The sequence below is a fragment of the Homo sapiens genome, chromosome 6 (genome assembly GCF_000001405.40).
Source record: "Homo sapiens chromosome 6, GRCh38.p14 Primary Assembly".
Lineage (NCBI taxonomy): Eukaryota > Metazoa > Chordata > Mammalia > Primates > Hominidae > Homo > Homo sapiens.
In genome coordinates, this window is record NC_000006.12 from 27137873 (window position 1) to 27156637 (window position 18765).

The 18765-nt window shown below is 42.0% G+C and overlaps 3 protein-coding genes and 1 non-coding gene across 6 annotated transcripts, besides 9 other annotated features; 3 read left to right on the plus strand and 1 right to left on the minus strand.

Moving 5' to 3' along the window:
• Positions 1–420: 420 nt before the first annotated feature.
• H2BC12 (H2B clustered histone 12) lies at positions 421–8986 on the minus strand. 3 transcript variants are annotated; one of them, XR_007059350.1, is made up of 2 exons: positions 8101–8983; positions 421–809 (listed from the first exon to the last, which is right to left on the minus strand). XR_007059350.1 is itself a non-coding variant. In NM_080593.2 (2 exons), exon 1 carries the CDS (start codon positions 8924–8926, stop codon positions 8546–8548), a length of 381 nt encoding a protein of 126 aa, NP_542160.1. In that variant the 5' UTR covers positions 8927–8986; the 3' UTR covers positions 421–809; positions 8537–8545. The 3 variants fall into 3 exon arrangements, 2 of the variants coding, with proteins under 2 accessions (NP_542160.1, NP_001299582.1); NM_080593.2 differs by having other exon boundaries at positions 8537–8986; NM_001312653.2 differs by lacking the exon at positions 421–809 and having other exon boundaries at positions 8489–8983.
• Positions 1224–1603: an enhancer, noted in NCBI's record as "active region_24267". NCBI's record gives its function as "activates an Ori minimal core promoter by ATAC-STARR-seq in GM12878 lymphoblastoid cells {active_cell/tissue: GM12878}" and the evidence as "EXISTENCE:reporter gene assay evidence [ECO:0000049][PMID:35858748]".
• Positions 1224–1958: a biological region, named in NCBI's record as "NANOG-H3K27ac-H3K4me1 hESC enhancer GRCh37_chr6:27107017-27107609".
• Positions 1366–1958: an enhancer, noted in NCBI's record as "NANOG-H3K27ac-H3K4me1 hESC enhancer chr6:27107017-27107609 (GRCh37/hg19 assembly coordinates)". NCBI's record gives its function as "activates a minimal SCP1, AML or CMV promoter by ChIP-STARR-seq in naive H9 embryonic stem cells {active_cell/tissue: H9 hESC(naive)}" and the evidence as "EXISTENCE:reporter gene assay evidence [ECO:0000049][PMID:30033119]".
• Positions 1410–1806, plus strand: H4C9 (H4 clustered histone 9). Its single transcript, NM_003495.3, has one exon. The coding sequence runs from the start codon at positions 1437–1439 to the stop codon at positions 1746–1748; it is 312 nt and encodes a 103-aa protein (NP_003486.1). The 5' UTR covers positions 1410–1436; the 3' UTR covers positions 1749–1806.
• Positions 1959–2550: an enhancer, noted in NCBI's record as "NANOG-H3K27ac-H3K4me1 hESC enhancer chr6:27107610-27108201 (GRCh37/hg19 assembly coordinates)". NCBI's record gives its function as "activates a minimal SCP1, AML or CMV promoter by ChIP-STARR-seq in naive H9 embryonic stem cells {active_cell/tissue: H9 hESC(naive)}" and the evidence as "EXISTENCE:reporter gene assay evidence [ECO:0000049][PMID:30033119]".
• Positions 7881–7990: an enhancer, noted in NCBI's record as "active region_24268". NCBI's record gives its function as "activates an Ori minimal core promoter by ATAC-STARR-seq in GM12878 lymphoblastoid cells {active_cell/tissue: GM12878}" and the evidence as "EXISTENCE:reporter gene assay evidence [ECO:0000049][PMID:35858748]".
• Positions 8410–9326: an enhancer, noted in NCBI's record as "NANOG-H3K27ac-H3K4me1 hESC enhancer chr6:27114061-27114977 (GRCh37/hg19 assembly coordinates)". NCBI's record gives its function as "activates a minimal SCP1, AML or CMV promoter by ChIP-STARR-seq in naive H9 embryonic stem cells {active_cell/tissue: H9 hESC(naive)}" and the evidence as "EXISTENCE:reporter gene assay evidence [ECO:0000049][PMID:30033119]".
• Positions 8581–9040: an enhancer, noted in NCBI's record as "active region_24269". NCBI's record gives its function as "activates an Ori minimal core promoter by ATAC-STARR-seq in GM12878 lymphoblastoid cells {active_cell/tissue: GM12878}" and the evidence as "EXISTENCE:reporter gene assay evidence [ECO:0000049][PMID:35858748]".
• Positions 9234–9690, plus strand: H2AC12 (H2A clustered histone 12). Its single transcript, NM_080596.3, has one exon. It carries the CDS (start codon positions 9257–9259, stop codon positions 9641–9643), a length of 387 nt encoding a protein of 128 aa, NP_542163.1. The 5' UTR covers positions 9234–9256; the 3' UTR covers positions 9644–9690.
• Positions 9371–9620: an enhancer, noted in NCBI's record as "active region_24270". NCBI's record gives its function as "activates an Ori minimal core promoter by ATAC-STARR-seq in GM12878 lymphoblastoid cells {active_cell/tissue: GM12878}" and the evidence as "EXISTENCE:reporter gene assay evidence [ECO:0000049][PMID:35858748]".
• On the plus strand, positions 9754–9816 carry MIR3143 (microRNA 3143). The gene has a single exon (NR_036096.1). It is a non-coding gene; the product is annotated as a microRNA 3143 (primary transcript).
• Positions 11400–11449: a silencer, noted in NCBI's record as "silent region_17019". NCBI's record gives its function as "represses an Ori minimal core promoter by ATAC-STARR-seq in GM12878 lymphoblastoid cells {active_cell/tissue: GM12878}" and the evidence as "EXISTENCE:reporter gene assay evidence [ECO:0000049][PMID:35858748]".

Below are 18765 nucleotides of genomic sequence, written 5' to 3' on the forward strand. Positions count from 1 at the left end.
TTCTAAAGTATTTTAATGAAAAGTTTATCTTCATTTACTTTATGACATTTAAGTGGAATACTTTGAAAATACTTCAAGCACTGCTGTAAGGTACTCATTAAAATAAAGAGTAGCAAGAAAATCACCAAATGGGCCGGGTGCGGTGGCTCATATATTCAGTATATGATAATAAGTTCCTCAAATCAGTGGGGGAAATAGTTAATGTATTGTGCTGACTAACCAACTGATTAACTTTTTGAAAAGTTATTTCTATATACAAGAAATCAAGTCCTTATTAGTAAAGTTAGATTACTTTAAATGGTTCTACCCAGCATTAGTTAAGGTTGTAGGCATATCAGGAACTGCTACTGGTGCAGGGGCCAAGAGAAAACCTCCCTTTTGGCCTCTGAAAGTTCACTGAAAATCAACTGACAAGATTAATAAGAGAAAAGGCATACAAATTTATTAAGGTACAGGGCTGAGGACCACAGAATATTACCCCAACCCCCCAGTGGGGTACAGAAGCTTATATACTCTTTCTCAGAGGCAAAAGAGGAGATGGGTAATGTAGACAATTCTTTGAGGAACAGTAAATGATTATTAGAGAGAAGGAATGGACCAAGGAGACAGAAATTAACTTGTAAATGATTCTCTTTGGAATCTGAATGAGATCAAGAGGCCAGCTTTAGCTTGTGGAAAAGTCCATCTAGGTATGGTTGCATTCTCGTCTTCTTTTCTGCAGTAGATAATGAGGTAACCGAAGGCAATTGTGCTTCTTTTGATAAGAAGCTTTCTTGGTCATATCAGGAAATTCCAGAGAAAGTCCCTCCCTGTATTTGGGGAAGAGAAACAGGACAAAGTTAGAGGGACCTTGATTCTTAGACTTGTTTCTGAGAACCCTCAATTTTCAAAAACACCCACCATTACCAAGCTCGATATTTGGGGGGATAATTCTCCACCCCAAACACTAGAAATGAAAATAAGTAGAAAAGAACTTAGCAATATACCTGAACGATCTTTAAATTCTATGAGTCTATCTTGTTCTATTGCTAGGAATTTAGCATATGGAGTATATTTCCATTGTATATTAAGGAGAAAAATGCCACAAAATAGCATAGTTCCATACAAATAATGTTAAAGGAAAACATGCATATATGCAGAGATAACATTCTTTTTGCTTTATGTATCTTCTATAATGTTAACATTTTTGTTATGAGGCAGGAATCATGTTAAATGAAAAAAGGAAAAACAGCCTAGGTCTTGAGGATTAAAAAGGACTGAAGGAGAACAAGAGGGAGTAGAGCACAGCAGGCCTGTTTCCCTTTTAGGTCCCCTCCCCCAATGCAGAGGGACTTCCCGCCAAAGCTCTTCCGGTTTTCAGTCTGGTCCGCAGAGGTTACCCATAAAAGAAAGCTGCCATCACAGGCAGCAGACCTTTGTTCTCTGACCACTTGATAATGTCAGGACGCGGCAAAGGAGGTAAGGGCCTGGGGAAAGGGGGTGCCAAGCGCCACCGCAAGGTGCTGCGCGACAACATCCAGGGTATCACCAAGCCAGCCATTCGGCGCCTTGCTCGCCGCGGCGGCGTGAAGCGCATTTCTGGCCTCATCTATGAGGAGACCCGCGGAGTGTTGAAGGTGTTCCTGGAGAACGTGATCCGGGACGCCGTGACCTACACGGAGCACGCCAAGCGCAAGACGGTCACCGCCATGGACGTGGTCTACGCGCTCAAGCGCCAGGGCCGCACCCTCTATGGCTTCGGCGGCTAAATGGCATTTTGAAGCCCAGTCATTCTCTAAAAAGGCCCTTTTTAGGGCCCCTAAGCTTTCAACAAAAGAGTTGAAATGACTGCAAACTGAGTCTCTTAATAGGGCCATTGTCAGTGAGTTCTGTCATCCTATTTTACAAGATTAACTCGACGCCGAAAATGGGCTGATGACTACAGGTGACCTTGGGCCGAGATTTTTCCAAGGCCAGAAGAGCCTCTGCTGGCCAGTAACTTCTGGCGGCTGCCTGGAAATTGCCTGCAGCCGGTTTACCGCTCGGATTAGTTTAGAAAGCCAAGGGGTCTGCGGTCCAAATAGGGGCGGGCTAGATAATTAACTTCCCTCTGGACCTTCAAATACGTCTCAGGAGATAATGAGTTTGATGGGCTCCACTAAATGCTAGAACCTCCAGGAAAACTTCGTGGTGGCTGGTTTAAGAGGACTTGGCGGGCACAGAGCTCTGCATGGGGGGGAGGGGGACAGACCATGCTTTTACTACTGTAGAACAGTAGGGCAGTCTTAAGAGTCTTAGTAATAATATTCCTTTATATGTTTGCCTTTTAAATACTGGAATATATCAAGTATACAAAATGCGCTGGTGACCACACCACTTATTCAAGTGCATCTAAAATCCTTATGTCCCTTTCTCAGTAGCACAGCCCTCCCTTTTTCCTATCTAGAATTAACTAATATTCTAGGATAAACTGATATTCTAAATTTGTTTACTGTTCCCACGCGTTTTAACTTTAGATGCACATACCCCTAATCTATTTTAATCGTCATGAATTTTTACATTTGCTCTTGAAATATATCCGTGTTGAAATGTGCAGTTCTAGGTTATTTTTACCATTAATCTAGTTTTCTAATGTGTCAGTAAATACTTTATTCATTTCTCTGTTGATTTTTTTTCCTCATTACAAAACAGCACTGTATACAGCTGTGCATTTTCTGGTTACATGGAAGTGGAATTATTTGGTAAATGTGCATATTCAACATGAATAAAAATGAACAATTTGCTTTCCAGGGTAGTATTTTAAATTTATACTCCCATATTCCACCAGCAGTGCTTGAGAGTTATTGTTTATCAGCATTTCCTAATGTGAAATCGGAGTTTTTCTAAATGAGATTTTTGGCTATTTGGAGATTTTCCCGCTTTCCTCGGAATGGTCTATTCAGATTCTCTACAGTTTTTATTTTATGAGATTTGATTTGTAAATATTCTTTATATATTTGAGTTTTAACTTTTTGTCAGTATGTGACAAATATATTCTGTCACCTTGTGGGTTTGTTTTTAACTGTTCGTGATATCTTTGGATGTGCAAAATTTTAATAATGTTGGATTTATATTTTTTATAGTTTTTGAATGCTGCCTTTTCATAAAGGAGTTATCTGACTTCCACTTTCCCCAGGAGCTACAGGCATCAATCTGGGGGAAAAAAAAAAAACAAAAAACATTTAGGCGGCTTATGTCCTGATTTGGCTTGAATTGGATAGTAAGGCTTTTCTGAAATCGCTGTAAGAGTAGCATCAAGAGCGAGCTAAGGGAAGACCTGATAAAAGATTGATCTTACTTTCTAAATAAGCAATGATTAACAATACCTAAAATTTTCAAAGTATTACAAAAGGGACAAAAGAAAGGGTGAAAGAGGAAAGTAATGCCTAAGATACACTGAAAGTTTGTTGAAAATTGTTAAGTGCTTTACATGGATTATCTCGTATCTCATATTCTTGTGAGATAGATTTTATTACTCTTATTTTAAAATGGCAAAAGAGGCCAAATCAAATAACCAATTCACAAATGTTAGATTTTATGACCCAAACTTGTCTTTCTTTAATTTTTATTATTCCAGGAGCATAGATTCAAATTGCCCCGAACATACACTCACTCAAACCTGTAATATTCTTAATCACACTCTCTTAGTAGATAGATAAGCCATCACAGAGAGTAGTAGTGGTGCTAGTCCTATAATGAAGAATTTGGGGAAATGTGTCAGGACAGATGCAAAACCTGCTTGTCACTTAATCCCAATTGGAATGAATTATTTTCATGTGTCAGTTTGTGGGCCTGAGAAAGTCGTTTTTATTTTGTGTCTATATAGTTATGTTATTGTTAAATCTGCAGCAATGTAACACGTCCTTCCCTGTCATTTTTCATGTTCCAAGCCCAATGGATTAAACACTCCCTTAGGAAAAACCGTAGTAGGTGGTGATGCCAGAAGGAATTGTAATCCTTTGCATAGTGCCCTAGTGGGTTTTAGGTCAAGTTCTGCTCATTGAGTGTCTTATGGTATAGCACTAGCCATGCATGGAGTTTGAGCACTTACAATGTGGCATGTGACTGAGGGAGTAAGTGTTTAATTATATCTTAATTAGTTTACTTTTAAAAACTGGTGCTGGATTCAATTAGATAGCATTCAAGTATACTTGGAACACCTTAGGGACATGAATCAGAATCATCTTATTCTAATTACAGATCAAGAATTCCCCACGAAAATTTATTTTGATATACCATAAAAGTGTAAAATACACACCAGATTTTGAAGATTTGAAATGAAAAAAGAATACAAGATATTTAATACATTCTGTATTGACTATATGCTGAAACTATATTTTTGATATATTCTGTCAAATAGGATACACTATTAAAATTAACTTTTTTAACTTTTTTTTTGGAGACGAACTCTCGCTTTCGTCCCCCAGGCTGGAGTACAATGGTGTGATCTCGGCTCACTGCAACCTCCGCCTCCCGGGTTCAAGCAATTCTCCTGCCTCCGCCTCCCAAGTAGCTGGGATTACAGGTGCGTACTACCACGCCAGGCTAATTTTTTTGTATTTTAAGTAGAGACATGTTGGCCAGGCTGGTCTTGAACTCCTGACCTCAGGTCATCCGCCTGCCTCGGCCTCCCAAAGTGCCGGGATTACAGGCTTGAGCCACTGTGCCCAGACAATTTTTTTTAACTTTTAAAAATGGTTACTGGAAAGATAAGTACATGTATGACGTATTACATTCCCCCCCTCCTTTTTTTTTTTTTTTTTTTTGAGACAGTCTCGCTCTGTCGCCCAGGTTCGAGTGCAGTGGCACAATTTTGGCTCACTGCAACCTCAGCCTCCCGGGTTCAAGCCATTCTCCTGCCTCAGCCTCCCAAGCAGCTGGGACTACACTCATGTGAAACCATGCCCAACTAATTTTTGTATTTTTAGCAGAGACGGGGTTTCACCATACTGGCCAGGCAGGTCTCAAACTCCTGATCTTGTGATCCACCCACCTCGGCCTCCCAAAGTGCTGGGATTACAGGCATGAGCCATCGCACGTGGCCACATTATATTTCTATTTGAGTAGTGTCTTAAGAGTAACAAACTGGCTTTCAGACACATACAATAAAGACAAAAAAATCCTAGTTCAATAAAGAATGAGAAAGTAGGATAAAGCAAATGAACAAATTTCCCAGGCCCAGTGCGGTGGCTCACTGGCCCGGTTCACGCCAGCACTTTGGGAGGCCAAGGCAGGTGGATCACCTTAAGTCAGGAGTTCAGGACCAGCCTGGCCAACATGGTGAAATCCCATCTCTACTAAAAATATAAAAACTAGCCAGGCATGGTGGTGGGCACCTGTAATCCCAGCTACTCAGGAGGCTGAGGCAGGATAATTGCTTGAACAAAGGAGACAGAGGTTGCAGTGAGCTGACACAGTGCCACTGCACTCCAGCCTTGGCGACAGAGTAAGACTGTCTCAAAAAAAAGAAAAAAATTTCCTTTCCTTCACTTATATTCCTGAAGATAGAGATAAGGTCTTCTCCCAACTGTACTTATACCTCAGGTAATATCAAGAAAGTAGTGACATGATATATTACAATTCATAGGCATTGAGTTGTGAGATTTGCTCCTTTGTATTAAGCACTTGAAGAATTACTAAGTTTTTCCAGCTCATCTAGGGTAGAAAGCCATGCCATTTTCTTAGGTCCACTGACCTCTTTACTTCCAACTTCTAGACTTAAAGATACTAGATAACAGCAGAGACCAAACATATGATTGCCAAGTCCCTAACCACAGTTAAATAAACCTCCACTTTTCAATCCCAGAGCTACTCTCAGTTTCCCAAAGGATGGGAGAATCTGAAGCAGGCAATTATTCTGTGCAAGCGTTCTTCAGCAGGCTGTAACAATTGCTAGATTGAATTGCTGTGGTCCAGAATCACACAGCAATTATTGCAAAGCACTGAACTACTCTTTAAAAAAAAAAAAAAAAAAAAAAATTTATGAGACAGGAGACAATTTAGCACATTCAACTTTTTAACAATTTAAAAGAGATTATGAAATATACAAATAAATAAGTTAAAAGAGCCCTATTTTTGCTCCAAATTAAGTCAAATTAATACACGTGGCTAATGAGAAAATAGATGACAAAGAGATATATGGTATAATGGAAACAAACAAGAGCATAATGGAATCTTGTTCTGAGTCTAATGATTTGAGCAAAGTAAGCTTTGCATCCATTTAGCTATTTGTAAAATAACAGTGATCTGAACTTTTTGATTCCTTCAAGCTGTTAAATTCTGTGCTATCAGCCGGGCGTGGTGGCTCACACCTGTAATCCTAGCACTTTAGGAGGCCGAGGCAGGTGGATCGCCCAAGGTCGGGAGTTCCAGACCAGCCTGGCCAACATGTTGAAACCCCATCTCTACTAAAAATACAAAAATTAGCTGGGCATGGTGGCAGGCACTTGTAATACCAGTCATTCGGGAAACTGAGGCAAGATAATCGCTTGAACCTGGGAGGCGGAGGTTGCAGTGAGCCAAGATCTCGCCGTTGCACTCCAGCCTGGGCAACAGAGTGAGACTCTGTCTGGGGGGGGGGGGGGGGGCGGAATCTGTGCTATCAAGAGAAATAAAATGAGATCATTTTGAAGGGAGAAAAGGGGTGAGGGTGAAAGCAGGAGAAAGTTATGGCCACTTCCACCCAGTATTTCTATTAAAACACAAATGCACTTCCAGAATTTTGTAAAAAGAGCAAAAAGGACTGAAAGTAAATTGTATAAAATCAAGATGATATGTCCATTTGCAAAAATAGTTTGTAAGTCTAAAGGTAATAACAGCAGATAGCTCCAGAGTAAAAATTTTAGTCTATAAAAAGTAGTCAGGTATACCTGAAGGTAGAATTCATTGGCATAGTGTATTTTAGTTTATTTTTTAATTTTATTTGCGACGGAGTTTTGCTCTGTTGCCCAGGCTGGAGTGCAGTGAGGTGATCTAGGCTCACTGCAACCTTTGCCTCCTGGCTTCCAGCAATTCTGCCTCAGCCTCCCGAGTAGCTGGGACTACGGGCACATGCTACCACGCCCCCCCTAATTTTTGTACTGTTAGTAGAGACGGGGTTTCACACTATGTTAGCCATGCTGGTTTTGAATTCCTGACTTCAAGTGATCTGCCCTCCTATATAGGTATAGATATAGATCAGTGCCTCCTATATAGGTAAACAATAAATATAATTATTTGTTGATACATTTCTTAGAATATTAATGTAACCCCAAAATTACTGGTAGGATAAATAAGACTTGGATCAACAGTGAACATATGCTTTGCATGTATGAAGTTTTTCAATATGACCCTGCTAATCTCCAAATGCCTAAGGGCGGGCAATATCCCCAAAGACTAGAACAATGCGTGGCCAAATATGTTAAATACACACACACACACACACACACACACACACACACACACACACAAAATTCCCCTGTGAAACTGGCCTACATTTCTAAATCACAAATTTAGCCAGGTAACAACCTAGCTTAAAATTCGTGGACTCTTTCTTTCACTTGGTTCTTCCAAAAAAGTTTCACACTGCTCATCACCGGCATAGTCATTCTAGCCTCTAATCACACAATAAAACCCACCACCTAATTCTAACCCACCACCTAACACTTAGCTCAAACCCTGTGCTGCTGGGGAAGTTCCCTTCTCCTCTACTCCAACTTCTTGCTTCGGGGCGGACTGTCTCTAGTCTGTCTGTTGTCTCCCCTCTGAATCTACTTGCTTTTCATTTTCCTTTTCTATAAGCTTTCTTGTCAAAAGGAAAAATTACTGATTGGACCAATTGACGCTGAACATGCCTTAAAAACTAGTAAACTATTCCAAAAATCTCCGTGATGATTTCATGTTCCGTTTCTTCACTCCTGAGAAAAGCTGTGCTCCTCCCCTTACCCTTGCAGACTATCCTGCCTGGTGGTCTGGCATCTTCCCGATGTCCCGTGGGCTGCAGAGATGGAATCAGGGGGTGAGGGGGAAGCAAAGCAAGGCAGAGCTGGGTACAGCCTAGAAGAGGTTAAATAAGGTAACTGCTCGAGCGAAAGCCATACGTACTGGAACGCCATCGGGAACCAAATTTACTAATATATAAACTCACGTTAGAACGCCATTACATGGTGGAAAGTACACGTGACACAATAGGCTTTCAACAAGTTCTAACAGGAAGTCACAGCACTCGACACAACGGAAGTATCCATTTTCGCGCCAAGAGCCAGGAAGCACTTTCTGTTAACACAAGTTTCCTGCACATCCCTAATTTTTTAGGCGCCATATTCCTCACTCAGTACTAACAAAGTGTATGTGGCTTCTCCTTAGCCAGACTCGATTACAAGCACTGCATGCATTACTCAGTGTGATAAGATCATGATAATCCCTTTAAAAAGATCGCCCGAATTTAAGCCTGGATTAGGAACACGTGTTTACAGCTCTAATATCGATAATTTAAGTGGCTCTTAAAAGAGCCTTTGGGGTTGGGCTTTAAGACGCTTACTTGGCAAGTTTACTTAGCGCTGGTGTACTTGGTGACGGCCTTGGTGCCCTCGGACACGGCGTGCTTGGCCAACTCCCCGGGCAGCAGCAGGCGCACGGCCGTCTGGATCTCCCTGGAGGTGATGGTCGAGCGCTTGTTGTAATGCGCCAGGCGGGAAGCCTCACCCGCGATGCGTTCGAAGATGTCGTTGACGAAGGAGTTCATGATTCCCATGGCCTTAGAGGAGATGCCGGTGTCGGGGTGGACCTGCTTCAGCACCTTGTACACGTATACGGAGTAGCTCTCCTTGCGGCTGCGCTTGCGCTTCTTGCCGTCCTTCTTCTGCGCCTTAGTCACGGCTTTCTTCGAGCCCTTCTTGGGCGCGGGAGCGGACTTCGCTGGTTCCGGCATGTTGAAGGCGAACTACGAGCCTGAGACGAGCAGCAGATCGAGAAAACGGGAAGTAATGGGAGCAAGGTACCAGGAGTCGTTTTTATATAGGACCTCTCATGCAAATAAGGTGAAGAGTGAAAGTCCTGTATCTGATTGGTGGTTATTAGGGTGACGTCAGAGGTTAGTTATACCCAATCAACCCAATCTGCAAATCCAAAAGACGTACTTCCATTGGTTAAAACTAAGCTACAACCCTAACCAATGACATATCTTCTTTTTCGCGCCCAATAGTGTTTATAAAAGGCGCTGCCTTTCCTCGTTGGCTACTTTCAGTAAGTTGTGACCAGTATGTCTGGACGTGGCAAGCAAGGCGGTAAAGCTCGCGCCAAGGCCAAGACCCGCTCTTCTCGGGCTGGGCTTCAGTTCCCCGTGGGCCGAGTGCACCGCCTGCTCCGCAAGGGTAATTATGCCGAGCGGGTTGGAGCCGGCGCGCCAGTGTACCTGGCTGCGGTGCTGGAGTACCTGACCGCTGAGATCCTGGAGCTGGCTGGCAATGCGGCCCGCGACAACAAGAAGACCCGTATCATCCCGCGTCACCTCCAACTGGCCATCCGCAACGACGAGGAGCTCAACAAGCTGCTGGGCAAAGTCACCATCGCGCAGGGTGGTGTCTTGCCCAATATCCAGGCCGTGCTGCTGCCTAAGAAGACTGAGAGCCACCATAAGGCCAAATAAGGAGCGAGGTTGTGAAAACTGGAAAACAAAGGCTCTTTTCAGAGCCATTCTACACTGTCTTAGAGAAAGCTGGACACAGTCATGTTTGTTTCACTTCATGTTTGCTTCGCTAGATAACATTGTAAAGCGCTTCTTTCGCGGTTGGGCTGGAGCAACTCTTTACAATGTTTCTAAATTAACCCACTGGAAAGCAATGAAGACCCAAAAGTTGTTGTAGGATACTCCGGAGAAGCTTATTCAGCAGGGGTAATAAGTGAAATCAAACGTACAAATCCCTGAAATCTATTTACTAATTCCAGTGGTTTTTTTTTTTTTTTTTTTTTTTTTGAGATGGAGTCTCCAACAGGCTGGAGTGCAGTGGCGCGGCGCGATCTCGGCTCACTGCAACCTCCACCTCCCAGGTTCAAGCGATTCTCCTGTCTCGGCCTCCCGAATAGCTGGGATTACAGGCACACACCACCACGACCGGCTAGTTTTTTTGTATTTTTAGTGGAGACGGGGTTCCACCATGGTGGCCAGGCTGGTCTCGAACTCCTGACCTCAGGTGATCCGCCCGCCTCGGCCTCCCAAAGTGCTGGGATTACAGGCGTGAGCCACAGCGCCCGGCCTCCAGTGTAATAATTCTATTACATTAATAGTGTTGTCAAACAGCCATAAAAATGGGATATACTTGCCATTCTTTAAAGGCAAATTTTGCAATTCTAAGTATTCTTGAAAAGCAAGAAAGGGCAGCCTGATTCTTAAGTGGTCTAACTCTTAAGAGTAACTTTACCCAGGTGATGAAAGTCTAGTGACTCATTTGCATTAGAATTTGATTCCGATGGAAGGAGAATATGGGATGCAGAATTTCCTGAATCCCATATTTGTAAATCCTTAGTCCCATTTCTTTGGAGCAGGTGTATTAATGCACTCTTGTAGTAGCTTAGGATACAACATAGCTTTTTCTGTCTAGCTAATTTGTATTATCAAATTTATTAGATCGGGATTGCTATTGCTTTTGATTGCTTGTCCACATTAATTTACCTACCCTAGGAAGCCCTATGAGTTTCCTTCCTCCGCCCCACCCCCTCTTGATATTACTTGGCCTGCTTTTACTTCATAGCCTCAAGGCTTTCTGGCTATTCCCACAAAATGCCAAACACATTTTCTGTCTTAAGGCCTTTGCACTTTAAATTCCCTCTTCCCCTGATAACTACCTTTCTCACTTTTTTTCAATCTATGTAGGTCTCTGATCAAGTAACACCTATAAAGAGGTCATCTTTGTTTATCTCCTCTCTAAAATGGAGGGCCCCATTACGCTCTCTATGCCTATGGGGATAGGATATATATTAATTGAAATATTACATGTATACATCTTTATTTTTTCTCTACGGAATTCAAGCCACTTAAAAAAGACACCAAAAAATAGTATTAACTTTATGTATTTCACAAAGATTTAAGAGGACATAGTTTGTAATTCAATACACATAGATTTGTTTGCTACTCCCAGTCTTTGCATGCAGAAGCCCAATTGAAAAAGAAATGCAAGAGATGCAGAACGAGAAATTATAATGTAGTGACATATGAGTTCTCGATAAACAGATGCTGAGATGGAGTTTGGGATGCAAAATGTTTATTAGGGCTCAATATCTGTGAAGGGGTGAAGGAAATAGGATTGGGCAAAGGAAAATGTCAAACTATGATACAGGCCAGACAAATGCTCAACCAACCCAGTGGAGAGCTCTGGAGCCAGTATGCCTGTCAAGTTGCCCCCACATTGGGCCAAAGGGGCTCTAGACCACCCTTTTTAACTCCTCTGTGGGTCACTGAATGAGGACTGCCCGGGGAAGGATGCAGCCTTGAGTGGGGAGGAGCTCTGCAGCTGAGGCAAACACTGAGGAAGCTAACAGCTGGTGTCTATCTGCTAACTGTGCTCTCTGCAGTTGGGCTGCAAGCCCTTCCTTGAAGGAGGATCTGGGCAGTGTATTTCCATGTCTATGACATATATTAACATGAATATAAATATCAATGTTAAGTAAGGTCTATGATAGTATCTGTGAGACTGACTTTAGCATGCATAAGTGCATAGCTGGTATTGCTCTTTGACTTTTTTTCTTTTTCTTTTTTTTTTTTTTGAGATGAAGTTTTGCTCTTCTTGCCCAGGCTGGAGTGCAATGGCCTGATCTCGGCTCACTGCAACCTCCACCTCCCAGATTCAAGCGATTCTCCTGCTTCAGCCTCCTGAGTAGCTGGGATTACTGGTGTGTGCCACCACTCCCGGCTAATTTTGTAATTTTAGTAGAGTCAAGGTTTCACCATGTTGGTCAGGCTGGTCTCGAACTCCTGACCTCAGGTGATCTGCCTGCCTTGGCCTCCCAAAGTGCCAGGATTACAGGCATGAGCCTGTAATTACTTTCATCAGGGAATTTAAAGGCCGGGGAGGGGCGGGTCTTTTCTTTTTAGAGAAATAAGAAAATGTACAGACATTCTAAAAATCTTTATTAGTTTGATATACTCCTGTAAGAGCTTTAAATGCCTCAATCATTGCACATGGAAGGTGATAGAAAACAATTATAAAAGAAATGGGAGATTCTTCCACTAACTTTTCCTACCCCAGATTCAGCAAATCTCTTTACTTTTCCTGTACTGAGAAATAATCCAGCTTTGCCCCATACTGAAGAAACTTCAGAATGAATATTTGAGGCTCAAAAGAGAGGAGAGGAAACCTTTAAAAAAACCATGGAATGAGTTTCTGTAGTATGGTGGTTATCACGTTAGTCTCACACGTGAAAGGTCCCTGGTTCGAAACCAGGTGGAAACACATTTTAGGCTGGGTGCGGTGGTTCATGCCTGTAATCCCAACACAAAAACTTAGCCGGGCGTGGTGGCAGCTGCCTATAGTCCCAGCTACTTGGGAGGCTGAGGCAGGAGAATTGCTTGAGCCCGGAAGGCGGAGGTTGCAGTGAGCCGAGATTGTGCCACTGTACTCCAGCCTGGGTGACAGAGTGAGACTCCAGCTCAAAAAAAAAAAAAAAAAAAAAAAAAACACCTATAAGAGATATTTGGTGCCGACCACTTATGGGCTACATATGCAATATGAATGTGCTTATTTATTTCTCACAACCTTTTGAGGTGGGTATTGTTTGGACTCTAATTTGGAAAAGAAAGTGTGGTGTTACTTATCCAATCAGATTCTCAATTAGTAGGAGAAAAAGCTATCAGAATATTATCTACTCAACATGGAACACACACATAACTGCCTTCTCTTAACTATCTGGTCTCATGTGCTTTAGTCTAAGGTATATAGAAACTTGGGTAAGAATTGTTAAAGGGAGATGTTGAAAGGTTCTACCAGAAGAGTATCATGATCATATCTGAATTAATAGATACCAAATGAGAAAGAATAAAACTAGACTTAATTATTCAAACAGTGTTTACAATAGTTTAAAGTGAATAGCTAAAGATTCCTGAAAATGGGAATCACACTTAAAATATATACTTTAAAAAAATATATTTTTAAAACACACACAATTTTTAAAATGCATACATACATGCTTTTCCTCAGTTCCGCCCTTCCCCCTCATCTTCATACCTATTACAGATGGAGTCGTTGTCATGCATTCCTTGTAAGGAATAATTCTGAGAAAATCAAAATAGTAAAGTCACATCTAAAAATATGTGAAGGTTTATACCCCAGAGGAGCTGCATGATTTAAATAATTAACAATGACAAAATATGGGAAATATATGTGATTATGGATAATGAAGGGTGCTTAACTAAAGACGGAATAATATAATTTTATATCAGGCTAACTATTGACATGGCTTCACTTACCTGGGAAGCTAGATTCTATGTGTAATAGTAAACACCTGGGAGGAATAGTGATTGTTTACAAGGCTGACTGGTATCTGGACTCAGAACTGGCCATCAGTAAATCAACTTGAGATCCCAAATATGCCTTGGAATCACACAAAGGAAAACACCAAAAAAAAAAAAAAAAAAAAAAAAAGGAGGTAAAATTGCTGGTGTACGTTGATATTGCTTGACTTATTAAAAGCTAACTTTATTCACAGCAGAATTGCTAACTTTTTTCTATTCACAGCAAAATTGCCATTTTTGAAGAAACCAGTGCATTTTCTAATTTACTTGAAGCTGTAAGATTTAATAAAATTAACGGACTGGAATTAGAAAGTGTATTCAGGGATTGGTCTGTCTGATTCTATCTGGTACTCCTGTAGCTTTGCACTTGCGATTTCCCAAGCCCAGAGTGTTTGTCCTACCAGCCTCTCCTTGGGTAACTCCTATTCATTCTTCAATTTTCATAATATGGCACCTCCTCAATGAGGTATTCTCTTATTCTTAGTTCTCGTTATGCCTTCTGGGTTTACCAGATCAAGTTCTTTTTTTATTTTTTTGAGACGGAGTCTTGCTCGGTAGTCCAGGCTGGAGTGCAGTGGCGCGATCTTCGCTCACTGCAACCTCCGCCTCCTGGGTTCAAGTGATTCTCCTACCTCAGCCTCCCAAGTAGCTGGGATTACAGGCGCGTGCCACCGCTCCCTGCTAGGTTTTTTGTATTTTTTCTACAGATGGGGTTTCACTGTGTTAGCCAGGACAGTCTCAATCTCCTGACCTCGTGATCTGCCGGCCTCAGCCTCCCAAAGTGCTGGGATTAGAGGCGTGATCTTCCGCGCCCAGCCCAGATCAGGTTCTTAAACTCCACATCATCACCGCTTCTCAGCCTTTTGGCTAAGACCAAGTGTTTTCAGCCTTTTGGCTAAGATCATCTGTTCTTATGGGTTTAAACTCCATGTCAATGACTATATTTTGAAAGTAAATATCTTATTTGTATTTTCATTTAATATCTGTAAACACAGCAGCATATAAGCTAAAAGAGGTCAATATGTCAGCCAGTGTCCCATCAGGAGAGATTAGTCCTTCAAATTGGGTACTTTGGGCCTGATGCAGTGACTCATGCCTGTAACCCCAACATTTTGGGAGGCCGAGGCGGGCAGATCACTTGAGGTCCAGAGTTCGAGGCCAGCCTGGCCAACATGGTGAAACCCCGTCTCTACTAAAAATACAAAAAAATTAGCCAGGCGTGGTGGTGGGCACCTGTAATCCCAGCTACTCAGGAGACTGAGGCAGGACCTTGAACCCAGGAGGCGGAGGTTGCAGTGAGCTGAGATTGCACCACTGCACTCCAGCCTGGGTGACAGAGCAAGACTCCGTCTCAAAAAACAAACAAACAACAACAACAACAACAACAACCAATTGGGTGCTTGAAGATTGAAAAAGAAGTGAGCAAGGTGTTAGGAAGCCACAAGAGATAGTGCAGTATTTTGAAGCTAATACCATATATAAGTAATTACCACACCTAGGCCCAAAGGGGCAATGAGAGGAAAGGAAATCTGGAAACAGAAAGAACTCCTTCCTCTCTCTGACATATTTTCACTTTTCATCAGCCAAATTTGACCAGCAGCCAAAGGACAAGGATCAAATTCATGTATAGATCAGCCTCCTAGGGACACAGGATGAAAGAAGGGGACAGTGGGCCGGGCACGGTGGCTCACGCCTGTAATCCCAGCACTTTGGGAGGCCGAGGTGGGCATATCACAAGGTCAGGATATCAAGACCATCCTGGCCAACATGGTGAAACCCCGTCTCTACTAAAAATACAAAAATTAGCTGGGCATGGTGGTGGCCGCCTGTAATCCCAGCTACTTGGGAGGCTGAGGCAGAAGAATCGCTTGAACCTAGGAGGCAGAGGTTGTAGTGAGCCAAGATTGCACCACTGCACTCCAGCCTGGGTGACAGAGCGAGACTCTGTCTCAGAGAAAAAAAAAAAAAAAAAAAAGAAGAGGACAGTGAATCTAGGCTGGCAAAAGTAAATATCTAGCACAGTCCATCCCTTTTGCCCTTTGGCATGTACTATCCTTTTCTCAAGTGAAAAGTCTGCATTGCATTCCAACATGGAATTTGTGAAATCACAGCCAGCTCATGGGGGTGATGCCAGTTTGTTCATAATCCTACTTTAAAACTAAAATGTTAGTCTTCACCTTCCTAGAATGTACTGGGGTAAAAAGTGAGAAGTACTTAGTTAACATAATACAAAGCTGTTATGAACCTTGCTTCTGTAGCTGATCATAAGGCTTAGGTTAGTAATCACAGCTTCCTTCTAAAATTCATTTCTTAGGCCAGGTGTGGTGGCTCATGCCTGTAATCCCAGCACTTTGGGAGGCTAAGGGGAGCAGCTCACTTGAGCCCAGGAGTTTAACATGAGACTGGGCAAAATGGCGAGATTCTGACTCTACACAAAATACAAAAAATTAGCCAGGCATAGTGGTGTATGCCTGTACTCCCAACTATTGGGGAGGCTGAGGTAGGAGAATCACCTGAGCCCGGGAGGTTGAGACTGCAGTGAGCCATGATCATGCCACTACACCCCAGCCTGGGCACCAGCCTGGGCAATGAAATGAGACCCTATCTCAAAAATAAATGAATAAATAAAAATAAAATTCATTTCTTGTTATCCTGACTTCTGTCAGCATGTTGGCTGAATTCTTTACATGGTAGTATAAAATATGCCTTTATTCCTGTGGGATCTGTGTCCTTGTGATCTTTTCTTTATCTCATTGTCACAATTTTTAATTGACCATGGCTTGTGGGCAAAAAACATTTAGAGACTTCTCTGGATTAGTAATGTTTGTTTGTTTGTTTGTTTTTTGTTTTCTTTAACCTCCACTGTACAGCAGACACCAAACTACCTCCTAGAAACTGGAAGCAATCACTCCAAGTAGAGGGACACTTTTCCCTGCATATTGGTTCAGTGGCATGAAAAGACTAAAATGGCCAGAAGCAGTTTTCAGGTTTCAATTGATTTGAAAGGTGACAATGCTCTCTAGTGGAAATATTTATCCACTGGGCACAAAGACACCCATTCCCTCAGAGCTCGATCAAGGTCACAGGGATAGGATACAAAATTGTCTGAATGGATCACTGAGGAATAATGAGAAGTGCCACTCACACCTCTACTTCTTGAGTCCCAGACATGTGCATTCTAGATATGGAGAGATGGCTCTACATATTGGCCACTGTTTTAATACTTATTAATACTATCACATTGGCAATTAACTATCAACATAAGAATTTTGGGGAACACATTCAGACCACAGCAGTTTCTAAGAGGAGGTAGAAATCCAATGTATCAAATAGTGTTGAGAAATCATATAAGTTGAGGACTAACATAGCCATTTCAACTAGTGAAATGTAAAAGATCAGTTTAAGTGGAGTGTTGAAGAAGAAAGCAAGATGAAGGAGTGTAATAAAGAAATGAGATGAAAGAAGATTTGGGTTTGATGACACTTCAAGGAAATATGGCTATAAACTGAAAGACAGTACTATCAATAGCAGAAAGGAAAAGTGAAAGCAAGAGAACAATTCTTTCAGATGAAAGAAATAAAAGCAGCTTTGAATGCTGATGCGAAAGATCCTATAGAGATCAAATAGAATTTTATTTAATAATACAGGAGAAAGAGGAAAATATTGCTGGAACTATGCCCTTGAAAGAAAGAGGGCTTTTAATTATTTCTTACAGAAAATTTAGAAATTCAGAAGTAGAAGAGTGCATGGCATTGGTAAAGGTAGAACTGGTAGGTTCAACTGTGCCAGCCTGTCTCTTATTCTTCCCAGAATCACTGTAGTGAATGTGTCAGATGAAATCTTCAAAATGGCCTTCCAAAATAAGCACAAGGAAAGAGGCCTTTTTCTAGGCCTATGACATCAAAGATACAGCTTTTCCCTCTTTTTATGGAGAAGCACATGCAGATCAACCCAATTTCCAAAAACATCCCAGCAGAAAATGCTGAAAAGCACTTTCATTCACAGCAGCTTTCTAAATGGGGTTGGGGAAGGCCCTAAGCAAAGGAAAAGGAAAGATCTAACTCAAAGAGACTTGAGACAGAGGCAGCTTGCATTTCCTTCTTACTGGCTGCATTTTCTTTGATGGAGCTCATGTCTTTGAGACTGAGAAAGCCCTTAGGTCACTTCCCTGATCAAACAAATTAATGTTAGGGCTGGGTGCGGTGGCTCATGCCTGTAATCCCAGCACTTTGGGTGGCGGAGGTGGGCGGATCATAAGGTCAGGAGATCGAGATCATCCTGTCTGAAACAGTGAAAACCCGTCTCTACTAAAAATACAAAAAATTAGCCAGTCGTGGTGTCACGCGCCTGTAGTCCCAGCTGCTCAAGAGGCTGAGGCAGGAGAATCACTTGAACCCAGGAGGCGGAGGTTGCAGTGAGCCAAGATCGCACCACTGCCCTCCAGCCTGGGCGACAGAGCGAGACTCCATCTCAAAAAATAAAATAAAATAAAATAATAATAATAATAATAATAATAATAATAATAATAACAATGATGCTAGGAAACAGGTAATTCTTCATTCAGTAAACCTATTAGTAATTAGAATACTTTTGTGTAATCCAGACAGAGGAAAGGAGATAAAGAAAATTTTAGGAAATTAAGCACATTATTTTGGCTCTGCTGAGAAGCTTTATTATGGATAGCTGCAGGGGTAATTTTGAACTCCCTTCATTTTTAAATTTATTATTATTATTTTAGAGGGAGGATCTTGCTCTGTAGCCCAGGCTGCAGTGCAGAGGCACAATCATAGCTCACTGCAACCTCAAACTCCTGGATTCAAGTGATCCTCCTGCCTCAGCCTCCCTTGTAATGGGGACTACAGGCATGCACCTCTGTGCCTGGTTAAATTTTTTTATTTTTTTTGTAGAGACAGGGTCTCACTATGTTGCCCAAACTTGATTCAAATTCATGGCCTCAAGCAATACTCCTGTCTTGACCTCCCAACCTTTCTTTAAATTATTACCAATCTTTTCCCATCAAAGGTCAAAAGGCAAGCCTGCTGAACTAGGCCAGATGCTGCTGGGAGAAGTTGCTTTCATAGAGCTTTGGATGGTAGTCTCTGCCCACCCATTCATTCATTCTGCAGCCAAACTATATTGATAAAGAACCTACCAAATGGGGAGCCCTAGTGATAGATTATTGAACAAAATAGATATTCCTCGTCTTGGGGCATATGGAGCGGGAGGATGGAGGCTGACATTAATCAAATAACTCTGGTATTATA